The sequence below is a fragment of the Homo sapiens genome, chromosome 8 (assembly GCF_000001405.40).
Source record: "Homo sapiens chromosome 8, GRCh38.p14 Primary Assembly".
NCBI lineage: Eukaryota > Metazoa > Chordata > Mammalia > Primates > Hominidae > Homo > Homo sapiens.
The window spans coordinates 97,211,502-97,227,824 of record NC_000008.11 but is presented as its reverse complement, the minus strand read 5'-3'; the positions used below and the strand labels follow the sequence as shown (position 1 = coordinate 97,227,824).

At 44.1% G+C, this 16,323-nt stretch overlaps 1 long non-coding RNA gene across 1 annotated transcript in view, besides 1 other annotated feature; it reads left to right on the top strand.

Moving 5' to 3' along the window:
- LOC101927066 (uncharacterized) overlaps positions 1–16,323 on the top strand; it is a 494,634-nt gene that overhangs the window by 218,673 nt on the left and 259,638 nt on the right. The window lies entirely within an intron of this gene.
- Positions 12,833–13,065: a silencer, noted in NCBI's record as "fragment chr8:98226988-98227220 (GRCh37/hg19 assembly coordinates)". NCBI's record gives its function as "represses an EF-1alpha promoter that drives an FKBP-Casp9 reporter gene in an ReSE screen in K562 erythroleukemia cells {active_cell/tissue: K562}" and the evidence as "EXISTENCE:reporter gene assay evidence [ECO:0000049][PMID:32094911]".

The window sequence follows — 16,323 nt, the reverse complement described above, 5'->3', positions numbered from 1 at the left end:
ATAAATGTTTGCTCTAAGAATCAATGAATGAGGTCTCACCAAAAAAGAGCACTGAGTTTGCTAGGGTTATTTATTTTAATATTATGCAAAACACAGAGCAGACATCACCTTCTGTTTCTAAATCCTTTGTGATTGATTAATCAACAAGTTATTACTGAAGCTAGCTACAGCTAAGACCCAGGTGAGAGGGAAGCAATGGCAACCACATACTTTGAGAGGTTTATTAATCGACTGTATAACAACACTGCTGCATCACATTATTAGAGTCATTCTGCCTTAGAGCTCAGGGTTCTACTTATAAAGTGACTTGTTTAATTAAAAAAATCCTAGCAAGGATAAAGGATAGAACATTTTATAATTACTTGCCAATAATCATCAGCTCACCCATTATAGGGCAAGATTAAAATTCAGCTCTTCAGAACTTGAGAGTCTGTTCTCATATACTTTTCCTTGGAATAGTTCATTTCTGGAGAGAGACACTAAATACTTCTAGTGGGCAGTGATGTGTCTCTTAGCAGCAGAAGGCAGGACTCAGTTCCCAGTGGCCCTTTGCCCTTCTTCCTCTGAGGTCCTCTACACCTGGTCTGTGGTATAGGAGGACTTCTTAGCTTCCAGGTCAATGCTGGCACTGGGGATGGAGATGGATGATGGGAAGCTGCTGAGATACTTGCCAAGCCTCAATGCTCATGCCTATTTAGTGACCTTGTGTTGAGACAGCATGATATGTACTCATCTGTACTTCATGGAAAGTCAGTCCATACACATTTACTGAGTACCTTCTGTTGTAGGTGCTGAGGATTCTAGGTGAACAGGGAAGTCATGGTCCCTACCCTGATGGACTAGTGGAGAAAATAGACATTTAACAAATAAATGATTCTGAATGTGTAAATTGCTGTGAAGGAGAAGTGTAGTGCAAGTCAAGGGTATAACAGGAGTGGTGCTGGAGGCTGAGAACAGGGCCACCATGTGCTGTCGTGCAGACTGTAGTCTATGTGAATGGCACCCCCTGGAGATGTATATTACTTAACAGGTCTGGTCAATATGGCAGTTCTAGCTGAGAGGAAGCAAATGACATGCAAATTGCAAAGGAGGAAGAGGATTGGCGAGGTTAAGACATGTGCAAAGGCCCCAAAACAGAAAGAAGCTGAACATGGTCCAGTAATGGGAAGAACCAGTATGACCAAGTAGAGAAGTAGGCACTGGGGAGAGAGGAGGCAGTCAGGTAGAGCCTCATAAAGCCATGGCAAGGAGCTTGGATACTATTATAATTGCAATGGGAGACAGGAGGATTTTAGAGCTGGAAATGACATGATCTGATTTCTGTCATTTTGGATGCCATTCGGGTTGGATTGGGGCGAGCATGGTAAGATTGGAGATGTAGAGAGGGCTTAGGAGGCTATTGCGAGAGTCAGTTTGCAGAAGACTTGGTACGCATTGGGTGCCCAATAAACCATGACTCCCTTTTCCTTCCCTCTCTTCTAATCGTGACATGCTTTGTACTTCCCAAAGCACTTTCAATTTGTTATTTTATTTGATCTGCATTATAGCACTTTCAATTCATTATTTCATTTGATCTTCATAACAGCTGAAGGGGGTGAGGTGGGTATTATCACCCCCCTTCATGCCTGTGGTAACTGAGGCTTTGAAGGGAAAAATGGCTTTCAGGAGGTCCATCAGCCAGTAACTCCTGGAACTGGTTCTCAAATCAAATCAAGGAACTTGACCAATCCCCAACTCTACCATATTATGCAATGTCCAAATGAAATCATCTAATTAGTTAATTTGTTAAGCACGAAGAAGTAATTTAAAATTTCTAGGGGTTACGATTTGCAGGCAGAAAAAGAAAAAAAGAAAAAGAAAAATACCGGTGAAGGAGCTGGTATTTCCCTAGGAACAGCCTGGATCCAAACTTCAGAATAATTGCGTAAAGAACACTGTATTCCACTGGAGTCACAATAACGCTTTTCTTTTCATCTTTATTCACCCCAGTGTGGCCCACTAAAAAGGATCCAGTGTGCTCCATGTCTGAAAAGATATATTTTTGCTCATTAAACACCAAACAGAGGTTAAGACATTGACAGATCAACATTATTTATACTGAAGGAGGCAAACGTTCCTTTCAAAGACTTTCATTTCCTCTGGAAACGTGTGCTACCTGAGCCGTAGCCACCAAAATATGTATTTTCTTTTCCTTTTAAGGAAATGCCACTTCATTGCCAAACCTCAAACATAGCACCCCAAATGGAAAGAGAGGGTTCTCAGGTACGGCAGGGAGAAAACTCAGATTCAAAAGCCGCTCTGTTCTCATCAACTAGGGACTGCATCTGAGACCGTCTGTGGATTTAATGTTCTGCAAATCTACTGAAAAGAGATTTTCGTCACAATTGCATTATAATGTTTTTCCCCAAGAACACTCCTTGTTTAGGAGCCAACAGCTCAAACCTTGAACAAATTGTTCCCAGACCTTCCTTATTTCCAATCTCCTTGTGAAGAAAGAGGCAGGCATAAGGGAGGATCAGTCTTATCTCACCTTTGTCCTTGACACTGGGGAACACAAGATAAGTTGCCGTAACCCCTCGTTTTGACTTTGAGGACTATAATAAGCAATTGGCCCTTTTTCCTTTTTTTTTTCTTTGCCAGAGTTTTGTCAGAATTAATTCACTTGGATTTGCTGTTTTGCTTGAATCTCTGTGGAAATGACTAATGCAGAGCATTATAAGCATAGTCTCCATGCTTATGGAGCATGGGCCATTATGGCCCAGTGGGAAATGGAGAATTGTAAACATGAAGAGGGAACTTTTCCAGTAAGCTCGGGGAGGGAGCGGCAGAGAGGGGGAGAAGTTACTAGAACCCAATGCTGCAATGGCCCCCAGGTACGCTCAGAGGAAGCTCTGGGCTTGGGCATTCAGGAAAGACCCTTATGAGGATGCAAGGTTGCCACATATGCCTCCTTGGCTTGGCTTTGTTGTCACCACTGAGAAACCCCAGCCCCTTTCCCCTTGGCCCCTGCCCAGAGGTGGAAGGAAGGGGTGGGTGCCAGCTTTTTTGTGGCTGCATTTGCATCTCAGTTCTGGGGAGAAGGTGCAGTGGGGGGACCCAGCTGTGGCTGTCCTGCAGAAGCAGCGGCAGAGGGGGCGCCTGGGACACACTCTGCTTTCTCCCCTCCCTGCAGCTGCTCCACCTGTGCACAAGCGTCCCTGTCTGCACTTGCTTAAGTGTTTAGGCCATTCCTGACCCTGTAGGGGATCTTTCCAATCCCTAGACATCTCCTCCTTTTCAAAGACTTCCTGGATTTCTTCCCCTGCCATTCCCACTTCTCCCCAAACATTTTCCTCTTTCTGGGACTTGGTGAGAGTTTAAGTATTTACTACATCTGCTGAGGATTATTGGTGCACAAATTTGTATCCTTAGGGGTCTTTGATTGCAAGCAACATAAAGTGACTCTGGTTGGCCAGGGGAATGGGGTTATGGGGAGGTAGATCAGGTGCCTGTAGAATCAGAGGGAATGTTGGAAAACTAGGCTAGGAGACAAGCAAAAGGTGAGAAAGCCCTAGAGGATGAGGAAGCAAAGCCCCAGGAGTAGAATTCTAGCAGGACTGCATGCCCAGGGTGCCACCACAGGGGAGTAGGACTCTGGACATATCACCATTCCTAGGGACACGGACTCAAGATGCAGAGATGAGAAAGCCCCTGCTACTGAGTGTGGTCCCATGCCTGTCCCCTGTAACACTGGGATACTGAGGGAGGCTCTGGGGGAAGGAGATTTTGATTGCTTTATTTGGAGGGCAGGTGCCTGGGCTTACCATCCCACTACAACTCAAACCAGGAGGAAATCAGGGATCAGGGTGCTCTTAGAGAAGGTGAATGGATGCTGAGTGGGGTGTGAAGGGGACAACAAAGCCACCACACTTTCTCCCTTCCCCTTCTGTCCCTGATGCAGAGTCCCCTGGAGGGTCAGGGGGTGTGGGAGGTGCTCAGCTGGGCTTGCTGCTGCAGGTTTAACACAGGGAAGAGGGATGCCCTTAGAGAGAAGGCCGGGTGCCTCTTTCTCCTTGGAATTGTTAGCCGTGAATGCTCAGGAAACTGGGGCAGAATCTCCTGGGGAACCTGAGGAGGATTCCTTCCCAGATCCCCTGTGGTTGCCTGGGAGTGAGCAAAAGGTGGGAATAAGTGCAGCTGAGAACTGGAGGAGACAAATCACACCTGCATCACCTCTACCTAGGAATCCCTTGCTATCCTAATGGCTGATGATGGCTGCCTTTGTCTTCTGGCCTTCCTACTACGCCCACGCTAGGACCCCAGACTGCATATATTTATTTCTGAAGCAAGTTTTAAAAATACAGCACCTTATAATGGTTGGTGGTTGAGTTACAGTTTTAACCAGGTTGAGAGTTACATTTGACGAGACAAGCATTGGCTCCGTGATGCTGTGGAAGCTATGTCACTTCTCTGGGCTCCACTTTCTTCCTCTCTAACATAGTGGAGGCTCAAAGTGTTTCCATTCGCAACAGTCCCCCATGCTCAAGGAGCGATCTGCTCAGCTCGCACACATCAGAGCCTCATTTATTTGGGGCTGCACTCAGAATTGAGAGGCACAGCTGGTCTCCTAGGTGACTGCCACGCAACACTGCGGTCATCTATTTCCTCTGCCTATTTTCCCCCGTAAAGCACTCTGGCAAAAGAGCCCAGAGGCACTGTGGAGTGGGGAGAAGCCAAAGATTTTAATATCCATGTGGTGACATTTAGGGCCATGTCAGCATCTTCAAACCGAGCGGGCAGACTTACAGCTCACAAGAGGATTCCTTTGGCTCATGTTCCGCCTTTGGCTCATGTTCCTCTTAAAAACAAAACAGAAATTCACTAGAAATCCAAATATTCTTCAGCAGAAAAGAAGGGACGCGGGGTGCAAGTCAGGTGTTGTGTGGAGAAGAGTGATTCCTATTGATACTCATCTTGGAGAGCTGCATATTAGCATATTCAAGATCCCTCCAGGTCCTATAGTAAAGACAGAGGTTTAACTCTTTATGACATAGCCTTCCCCAAACTTATTTGCACATGCAATATTCTTTTTTTGTGGAATACTTGTTAACTGCTGGTAACTCTGCCTGATCTCTTTGCACATATTCTTTTTCATGGGGTGGGAACTTCCCATGTGAACTGACCCTGGGGCCCCTCCAATCTCTCTCCATAGGGCTGAGGCATGTTAGACAGCTTGTAAAGAAATGACTCAATTAACAACATCATTCAGTATTCTTGAGAGCTCACCATGGATCAGGTATTGTGCTGGGTATAAAAAAGAAAGATTTGTAAAAGTAAATGGTCTCTTTCCTCAAGGAGCTTATAGTCTAGTGGGAAAGAGACTCATGAAAATGATGTGGCCTTGCCTTTAGTGTAATAAATGTTTGGGTCTAGGAGCTGGAGAGATCCCTCAGGGTCAGCTCACGAGATGACTTGGAGACCCCAGTGGCTGCACTTGGCAGCAGGGATGGGTCAGGCTCAGACAGGTGTTGAGTCAGATCCCCAGAGCTGACTCCAGCTAGGTCCTGGGTGGGCAGACAGTTTGCAAACTGGATGATCAGGGAGAGAGGACTGAGGGAGGCTTGGGTAGGGGATGAGAAGAAGGGTCTGGTTAGGCAAAGAGCTGAGGGTCTGAAGTCAAATGCGGGCAGCCAAAGAAGTGTCAGAAACTACCACCAGGGTAAACGGTCCCTGCTTCCCCAAGTATACCTTCCTTATCTACGGGACTTGCCGTGAATCCTCTGGGGACTTCGGGAATCCACGTCACATCTCTGGGCCTGAGCTTTCTCATCTGATCATGGAGATGGTTCTAATGTTCTGTAATTATTTGGCCCTGTGTTCGTTTCCTAGGGATGCTATAATAAATTACCACAAACTTGGTGACTTAAAAAAAAACAGTAATGTTCTCATCATTGTGGAAATCAAAGTATCAGCAGGGCCACACTGCCTCTGAGACTCTAGAAAGAATCCTTCCTTGTCTTTCCTGGCTTTTGGTGGTTGCCAGCAGTCCTTGGAATTCTTTGACTTATAGCTGCATCTTTCCAATGTCTGCTTCTCTCCTCACACAGCCTTCTTCATTGTGTGTCTTCAAACCTCCCCTGTCCTTAAAAGGACACCAGTCACTGGATTTAGAGCCCACCCTAATCCATCATGACCTTAATTTCATTACATCTGCAAATATCTTATTTTCAACTATGGCCACAGGCACAGGTACCAGGGGTTAGGATTTCAGTATACCTTTGAGGGGGATGTAATTCAACCCACTACAGCCTTCCATAGACAGAAAGGACCGACTCACCCAAGGCATGTTGAATCACCTTCTAGATTACGTCATAAGCAAAAAGGGTGATCAAGATTGGCCATGTTTGCAGACAATATGCAAGTGGAAAAGCATGGCATTTGGCTCTATTAGTCTCCCTGCTGCTAGTCTGACACTCTCCTGTCCATTCTCTGCTGTGTTCTAAGAAGGATTGTAATAAATCTAATCATATCACTCCCCTGTTCAAAATTCTTTGGTGGCTCCACCTGGCCTAAAGCATAAACGCTTTACTCCATTACCAGCCCTTCGTGGCCTGGTCCCTGTCCAATCCAGCTGGGGCTCATGATTTGCTCCTCCAACTCATCAGAGGACTGGGAAGAGAAGTCAGAGGGCACAGTCATGTCGAAAGGGAAACCCCAGTCATCCTGCAGAGGATTGATGGGATGAGGCTGCTGCACTGTGGAGGCTGCTCCAGAATGGGACAAAAAGTTTCATGCACCAGAGGAAGGCAGTGAGAGTTCTGCCAAAAAAAAAACAAAAACAAAAACAAAAAAAGGAAAGTGACCATTGATGCCTAAGGAGTCACATGAGATGAAGGCCTGTCAGTAGAGTGTGTGAGACCACCATATTACTTCCCAAGGCTGGAGACCATGAGCTGGATTGGAGTTGGATGAACATTAAAATAGGACAACAACCTCAGCATGAGCACTCACATAAGGAGGTGCCTTGCCCCTTTCTTCTTCCTGCCCAACACCAGAAGGTGAATCCCTGAAAGAGACAGCAGAGGGGAGGTGGTAAAAATGCAGATCCTAACCCACCCCTGCCCATGATCCGGGACTAGAGGAGCTATAAATCCAGTCAGTGCGGGATGGTCAGGGGGAGAACCTTGAAGCAAATAGAAGCTTGCAGTTTTAAAATAAATGGCACAGAGTCCTGAGTGAGAAGACAAACACTCTCTAATAGCTAAAATGACAGAGTATATATAGCTGCTTTCAGGTCCTAAAAAAATAAAATTATGTTAGGTTCGTGCCTGTCAACTTGAGACTCTTCCACAATCTTTGAGAAGAGAAACTAAGGCAAAAAGATGTTAAATAGCTATTCCATTCAGTTGAGGAAAAATAAATTGTACATGGTTCTTGACATATTACTAAGTGCTCTTTAGACCTTAGCTATTATTATTTCAAACAAGGAGAAAAACATGTACGAAAACACTGGCATGAAAGAGAAGATACTCTACTTAACCTTGTATTGCCTCCATTCCAGCAGTTTTTCAGTTGCTTTACATCTCTGCTTCCCTGTTTGACCATGTGTACTGAGCTTTGTACAGAAATGAATGAGTGAATGAATAATGAAGAATGGAGTTAATACCTTGAATGGTATCTCTTTTTTTTTTCAAATTGCAGAATTTAAGAGAAGGCTTGGTGGGTAGCTTTAGCTAAAATTGTTGGGAGGCTGAATAAAGATAGTGATAAACTCAAGATATGGAATATTTCCTCTGAGATGTGGGCTGTAATAAACTCAGGCTTGTGAGAGAATGAATGAGAATGGTCTGACAGCATGAACTCAAGTTTTGACCAGTGATGGGGGCTGTGATGGGGTGATGTCTCTCTGTTTTCCAAGGAGGCTTAGGCAGCCTGGATGATGATGACCAGTGACAGCAGGAATGCAAAGCTCTCCATTTGCTTTCTGTGCTTCTCCTGTGGTCATTATGTCAAGTGGTTGCACATTAGATTCGGTCTTTAAGAGATCAATGTTACATGGAAGAAAGTCCTCCATGTGAACCAGTTCTGCTGCAATAATGAAAAAGAACCAGCAGGAATCCAGCTTAGTAAGGCAAAATCCTCACTAAAAAGGCAGTACAGGCTCCATTTGCTGAAATTCAGCAAAGCATGGTGCTTACTTGGAATTTTAGAGAGACATTCTCCCAATCCCAAAACAACAACGTATTCCCAAGAAATTATTCTTGGGAGAAAAACACTGTTCTTACTGCTAGACTGCTGGAGACTGCTGATCCATGGACCTGGCCAAGAGTATTTAAAGCACTGACACTGACTGAAATTATCCAGGGGGTGACTATAGTATAGAGAAGAGTTCTGAGAACTAAACCCTAACAGAATTCAGGGAGACAAAGAGGAACCAGCAAAGGAGACCAAGAATGAGTAGCTCATGAAGGAAGGAAAATCCGAGAGTGGGACATTCTGGAAGTCCCACTCTTGGGTTTTCCTTCCCAAGAAAGGGAAGAAAATGAAAGTGCTTCAGAGGAGACCATGATCAACTGGGTGAGGTGCTGTTGAAAGAGTCAAGCAGGATGAGGACTTAAATTGACCTTGGATTTAGTGACTTGGGTGTCATTGGGAAACAGTTTCAATGGGATGGTGGGAGAGAAATTATGACTGGAATGGGTTCAGGAATGGATGAGAATAGAGGAATTGGAGAGAGCTAGTAAAGACAATCCTTTTAAAGAATTTTGCTTTAAAAGAGAGAATACAGACTTGGGGCAATAGAGAGGGATGTGGGGTAAAGATTTTTTTTTCTTTTTTTTAGTGGAAGTAATATTGTATTATTTTGCCAATAGGAAATTTCTGGTAAAGAGTGAAACATGAATGATGCAGGAGAGAGTGAAGGGGCAAGTGGAGAATGTAGGAGCCAGTGGGATGCCCAGCAGGGAGGGTGGCAGGAGCAGGAGAGTTCATTCTTGGTAACAGAGTGGTGGGGGAGGGAAGCCAGAACGTCTGAGAGTAGATGCACTAGGGTAGACGGGGTGAGGAGTGAGGTGCATGTTCTTCTTGGATTTTTTCCATTTTCCCCATGGATTAGGAAGCTGTGAGTAAGGACAGGGAAGAGGTTTTTGAGGAGGAGAGTGTGAAGAATTCATCTATGAGATGAATGGTGTGAGTATATCAGGGGAATCATTTTGAACTCTGGCTCTGGGAAGCTTCTAACAACACATCAATGCCTGAGCAGGAAAGAGGGAGAGGGACTGGAGGAGGCAGTGGGAACATGAAGAACCCTTTCCCCAACGCCAGGGCTGGTTGTGCTGTGAGGGGCATGGGAGGGAAACTGCCATCATGTGAGAGGCCCTCTGATATAGTTTGGATTTGTGTCCCCGTCCAAATCTCATGTCAAATTGTAGTCCCCAGTGTTGCAGGAGGGGCTTGGTGGGAGGTGATTCGATCATGAGCGTGGACTTCCCCCTTGCTTCTCGTGATAGTGAGTTTTCATGAGTTCTGGTTGCTTAAAAGTGTGTGGCATCTCCCCCTTTGTTCTTCCTCCTTCTCCAGCCATGTAGGACATGCCTGCTTCCTCTTCACCTTCCACCATGATTGTAAGTCTCCTGAGGCCTCCCCAGCCATGCTTCCTGTACGCCTGCGGAACTGTGAGCCAATTAAACCTCTTTTTAAAATAAATTACCCAGTCTAAGGTAGTTCTTTATAGCAGTGTGAAAATGGACTAATATGCCCTCAGAGGATGGATGCCCCTGGGGACTGTGGCATTCAGTGAGAGCAAGAGAAGAGGGTGGGACCAGGGCTTTGCTGCCAGCAAACAAAGACAGCAAGGCGAGCCTGGCTCACTGCTCTTCACCCATTACCCAGCTCTTTGCTGTTCACTGTTTATTTATGGACCTCCACTAACTAGAATGACAGCCCCTACAGGGCAGGAACTGACTGAGGCCTGTTCACTGCTTTACTCCTAGTGTCCTAGACAGTACCCCGTATGTACTATACCCGTGGCTCTCAAACATTTTGTTTCAGAAACCCTTTTTACACTCTCAAAATTTTTTTTTGGTGGATTATATCTATCAAGATTTTCATATTAGAAATTAAAGCATAACGTCTAAAAATACTTATTTAAAATATATAAATATTTATTATACTCTTAAATCAATAGTTCATTTAAAAATCACACCCATTACATGCTAACATAAAGAACCTATTTTTATGAAAAAATGACTATATTTTTGAAAACGAAAACATGTATTAAGAAGAGTGGCCTTGTTTTACATTTTTGCAAATCTCTTTAACTGTTTGACTTAATAAAAGGCTAGGGATTCTTCTATCTGCTCCTGCCTTCAATATGTTCTTTTATCTGTGGTTGTGCAGCCTCTGGGAATCTCCACAGGACACTTGTGAGATAATGAGAGTAAAAGAGACAGATACTGTCTTAGTAGTATTAGAACATAGTTTTGACCTCTTTGATACCCCTGAAAGGGTCTTCAGGACTCCCAAGGGTCCCCATATCATAATTTGAGAATTGCTGTAAGACAATCTTCAAATATTTGCCTACTACCTGGCTAATAGATTGAATGAATGAATGAAGCTCTCATTGAATTATGTCAATACTTCTTTAACTGGGCTTCTGGCTGCCACCCAGGTCTCCCCCTGTGATCACTTTCCACCTTGTTGCATGTTGTTGCAGAGTGACCTTTCCACTGCCCCGCTGTCACCTTTGGTCAGGTGTAACCTGGTAGCACAACACCCATGGTCTCCTGACCTGTGGCCTGTCTGCCTCTTTGGCCTCTTCTTTTTATGCCCCCAGCCCAGCCCTGAGATAGGCTCCAGCCATATCTAATTGCTTCTACTCATGTCATTTCCATGCCTAGAGTATCCTTTCTTGTGTCCTCTCTTCTCTGTTCCCCACAACACATTGTCTGGCAAACTCGTACAGCTCCTTCAAAATCCTGTTTAAGGTCACCTCCCTGATGCTTTCCTTGCCTGTCTGCCTATCACCAGAACTACAGCTAGATGAAGAGGCATGTAGTCCAGACCTCTACAGAAAACACAAAGACCTTCAAGTTCATGGCTAGATGACTAGAGTGGGTGACAACACCTCACATGCATTTTGCCTTTAGTCCTCACTGCAACCTGTGTTATGGCTGCTAAGTGACCAGGCTAGGATCAAACCCAGGCCCCTTTAGATCATAGCTCTGGAGCTAAACAGCTCTAAACCAAAGCCTGAGGAGCTTGGTTTTAAATGCCCCAGCTATAGATGCTAGGCAAGTTATTTAATATTGCTAAGGCTTGATACCCTCATCTGTAAAATGGGATGCTAATTGGATCTATCCTAAAGGGTCTGTAAATTTTCAACACATTAGTACACAGCAATGGTTTAGTAAGCCTCTGATGTATAGTAGGTGCTCAATTACTACTGGCTCTTGTTATTTATTGCCATGCAACCATTAGTTCTTATATTCCTCATTCTAAGTGTAGACAGATATTTATGTCTTTTTTTATTTGACTTTGAAATCATAAAAGGCATATCTATCTATGTATGCACAGCATCTACCATAGTGCATGGCATCTACCTAGCAGGTGCTCAATAAATATCCCATGGGTGAAAGAATGAATGAAGGGCAAGATACAGTCTAAATCAAGGAGGCATAGTCCCTGTTTACTGCAATCTATTTTGGCTAACTTGCATTTTTCATGTTGTCAGCTGAGCTACACATTCAAGTCAGCATTTTGTGAAGGGCCTTTATGGAACTTCCCTTTTCAGGGTGACCAGAGGCTTTTTCTCAGACATTATCTCCTCAGACAGAACCTGCAAGGAAATATAATTTGAAGAAAAATGTTTGGTGACGGCAGGCACTGAAACCTCCTTTGAGATGTGCCCTTTGAAAGCATACACATTTTCAGATGCAAAATCAAACCCTTGAAACCTGGTAGCTTCCAGGCGTAGACCCTTCTAGACCACATCTGTGTGTAGCCCTCCCATCGTGGATTCCCCTGCCAGCCCCCTCTGTCAGTGCCCTGTAGGAAGAGAGGCTGGGGCGTAGGGGACTTTTATAAGCCTCCTTCCATGTCTCTTGAATAGCATCTCACACTGAACCTCTCACACCTTCCCTGTAAAGAATGGTAGAGAACTGAGTTCTAGTCCTTCCACACACTCACTTAGTGGCCTTGCACATACCATTGTTTGTTATTGCTGTTATAATTGTTCCTTTGAGGAGGAGGAGTGTTATTAAAAGTCCATCCTCAACTGGGGAAGAAAATAGCCTCTGGTCTAGGATTGTGCATCTTATACCAGAAGACTGCCAATCACAATGATTAAAGGTGCCAGTTTGGGGTTCAAACAAACCTAGACACAAATCCCAGCTCTGCTTCTTTCTGGCTGGGTGAGATTTCACATAATCTCCCCAAGCCTCTGCTTCCTCATTGGCAAAATACAGATAATGCTATTTTCCTCATAGTGCAATCGTGAGAGTTAAATGAGCTAGGACAGGTAAAGCTCTTAGGATGTTCCCAAGTGTTTAATAAGTGCTCCAGAAATTCTAGCTATTACTAGTACATAAGACCACAGGATAAATAGGTTACATTTTGGGAGATCAGTTTGAGTTGGGGAAGAGTTTTGAATTTTGATTATCTTAATAGAGCAAGAACATTATGCATTTAAGAAAATACATTTAAAAATAAAACAAGAGCTTTCAGAGAAAATAAAATTGTGCTTTTAATGTCTGCTTTGCCCTTTCTGAACATAGCTGGAAGCCCACTGTCCTCCAACTGGGGGGGTCTTTACATCTGCACACCGGGCCCCAGTGCCATGGAGCTTTAACACATACAGATTCCTAGGCCCCTAATCTCAAGTTACCAGAGGAAGGTAGGCACTCAGAAGGCTGTCCTCAAGGAAGGCTTAGAAAAAGGAGGGGGCAGGGGCTTGTCCTCCCTGGAACTCCTAAACCTGTACAGATGAGTCAGCAATTAATCTGCTGCCTCAGGCCAGGCCAGGGTTGATAGGGCAGGGGAGGATGTGGGCAGTTACCGACATTTCTCTGCTCTGAAGTCTGTTAGTGCTCTGAAGTATTTCCACCCCAGAGTCCATGCTCTTACCATTTCCTCCACATTGAACTCACTTCAAGGCTCTGCCCTGGCTGTCGGAAGGGTGGACAGAACCCCTGAGAATGTGACCATGACCTCACCTACCCCATGGCTTTTTTGCTTGCATTTGTGGCAAGGCCTGAACATATGGTTTTTGATAGATTTTTCGGGCTAATTAGGTACTAAAAGGCAGTAAAATATGGGGTGCTGGGTGGATAGCTGCTCCATCACACCCTCTGCAGGGCCCTGTGGGCAGCATGTCGCTTTAATATGTAGGGCACATGATGGCTCGTGGTCTCTAGTCACCTGGGTCATCATAGGTCTATTTAAGGTCAATTAGGACAAGGTCTGAACAAAGGATTAATATAAATCTGACAAATCAGGTTAGAAAACATATTTATTTTGTCAGATTTCTTGATTAGTAGCCTTTCTCAGTTCAGGCTGAATGATGGCATTCAACGTGCATACTTACTCATTTTGACAGCTAACAAGATAAATGTGTCAGCATGTGATTTGCTAAATACTTTCCCATGAATTTCACTTAGAAGTTGCCAGTGAGGTGCACACTTTGGAAAAGGGATGTGTGTCAGATTCAAGGTAGTGGCTGTAAAGCAATTTGTTTCTGCCTGCTCTGCCCAGGCACTTGCCTCTGATGGCCGGGGGATAATGTCTGTGCCCGCTGGTGAACTCACGATGAAGCATTGTGGTGTTAGAGGGCCACTGGCAGGGTCTGGACCTGGTCAAAGGTGCTCTGTGGGTACAGGCACAAGGCACAGCTTATCTGCACCTTGGGCTTTGCTTTGGGTATGGCATTTATGCAGCCGCAGAAGCGCCAGGAGCCATAGCACAGGCAGGGGACTGGCACTGTCAGACTGCTTGAAGAGTGTCAGAATGACACTCTCAGAATGACATGAGAGAGAACCTCATGACATGTCTCTCTCAGAATGACATGAGAGAGAACCTCATGCACCTCAGAGGAACCTAGAGGATGGCTAGGGGCTGGCGATATGGCAGATGGGGTCGCATGGTGGGTGGCTCCCTGTGATTCCTTGCCTTGTCTGCCACACATTGGCTTATCGAGGGCCCCTGCATGAACCTTCTCCATGTCTTTGGGGGCCACATTGGTAATAGAGGACACTTCAGGGTTAATTTTCTCCTTTTGCCTGGGCTGTAGCCCCTGTTGACAAGTATCTAAGGACATGGGGTGCTTCCACGTTCAAGACACAGTGGACCTGCATTTGGAGAATGTGCTTTCACAAATGGGTCATGCCAGTTCTACAGGGGATTCCCCCTCCCCACCCCACACTGTGTCCTGTTCTCTGATCCTTTCCCATCACTGTGTCCTGTCTCCCCAGCAAGAGGGCAAACTCTTGGACAGGGAGACCTCTGTTTTCCCTTTAGTAGCCCCCATAATACTCAGGTAGGCACTCAACACATTCTTGTTGGTTGACCAAGTGACTGAAGAGAACTCTCATCTTGCCCAAATAGGAGACAAGCTAGAAGTTAAGACAGTCTTCATTTCCTCAATAAGATTTTTCCCAAAGTGTTTTTTTTCCCTTGTCAATCTGATTGTACAAAGTCTAGGATATGCAAGTGGCTTTCAAAAAGTTCATGGAAAATGTATCTTATGAAAAAACTAGGCATGGATTTCAAAAATTTTTTTGCACCGAGATAAACTTGTACTACCATGTTATAACATGTCTGAGGAGGATCTAGTTTGAGGCACTAAGAAGGATAAGATATCACTTTAAAAAGAGATCCTATCAAAGCAACATGAATTCTACTAAAATTGAAACAAGAACAAACATTAAATTTATGGTGAAGTTTGATGGAATCACTGATGCTTTATGAAAAGTTTATGGGGACAAGGGCCCCAAAGAAATCAGCAGTTTACAAGCGGATAACTTGTTTTAAGAGGAGAAGATGATATTGAAGATAAAGCCTGCAGCAGCAGATCATCCTGTTCATGTCCTAATTGAAGAGGACTGACAATTAACAGTAGGAACAATAGCCAACACCACAGACACCTCAATTGATTCAGCTTACACAATTCTGACTGAAAAGTTAAAATTGAGCAAACTTTCCACTTGATGGGTGCCAAACCACTGCACCCAGATCAGCTACAGACCAGAAGAAAGATTTCAATGGAAATTTTAAACAAGTGGGATCAAGAGTCTGAAGCATTTCTTTGAAGAATTGTAATAGGAGATAAAACATGGGTTTACCGATACAATCCTGAAGACAAAGTACGATCAAAGCAATGACTACCAAGAGGTTGAAGGAGTCCAGTCAATGCAAAAGCATACGGGTCAAGAGCAAAGTGATGGCAATAGTTTTGTGGGATGCTCAAGGCATTTTGTTTATTGACCTTCTGGAGGGCCAAAGAACAGTAACATCTACCTATTATTAGAGTGTCTTAAGAAAGCTAGCCAAAGCTTTAACAGAAAAACACCCAGGAAATCTTCAACAGAGGGTTCTTCTTCACCATGACAATGTTTGTGCTCATTACTCTCATCAAACAAGGGCAACTTTGTGAGAGTTTAGATGAGAAGTCATTGGGCATCCACTTTACAGTCCTGAGTTGGTTCCTCTGACTTATTTTTGTTTCCTAATCTTAAAAACATCTGTAAAGGGCATCCATTTTTCTTCAGTTAAAAATGTAAGAAAGTCTGCATGGACATGGTTAAATTCCAGGACCCTAAGTTCTTTAGGGATGGAATAAATGACTGGTATCATTGCTTACAAAAGTGTCTTAAACTTGATGGAGATTATGTTGAGAAATAAAGTTTATGTTTTTTATTTTTATCTTTTAATTCCATTTTCCCATGAACTTTTTGAAGTCTCTTCATAGGTCAACTAGTCAAATGTCTACTTAAGTACTTAATCTATTAATTTAGGAATACAGATGTATTTAAAAATCACATAGTACATAAAGCATTTTATTTTGGAGTACACTTTACTAAAATACTTCATTACACTGCAGGTGTCTTTGACATCACTGTCTTTTTCTTACCAGAGCTGCATTTGCAGTGGTTTTTCAGAGCACTGTTGAGCTAGAGCCTTTTTGAATCCATATATGACACTGATAGCAAACTACCATTGCATATGCTATGGTCTGAATGTTTGTGTTCACCCTCAAATTCACAGGTTGAAATTGTAGCCCCCAAGGTGATGGTATTAGGAGGTGGGGTCTTTGGGAGGTGATTAGGTCATGAGGATGGAGCCCGCATGAGT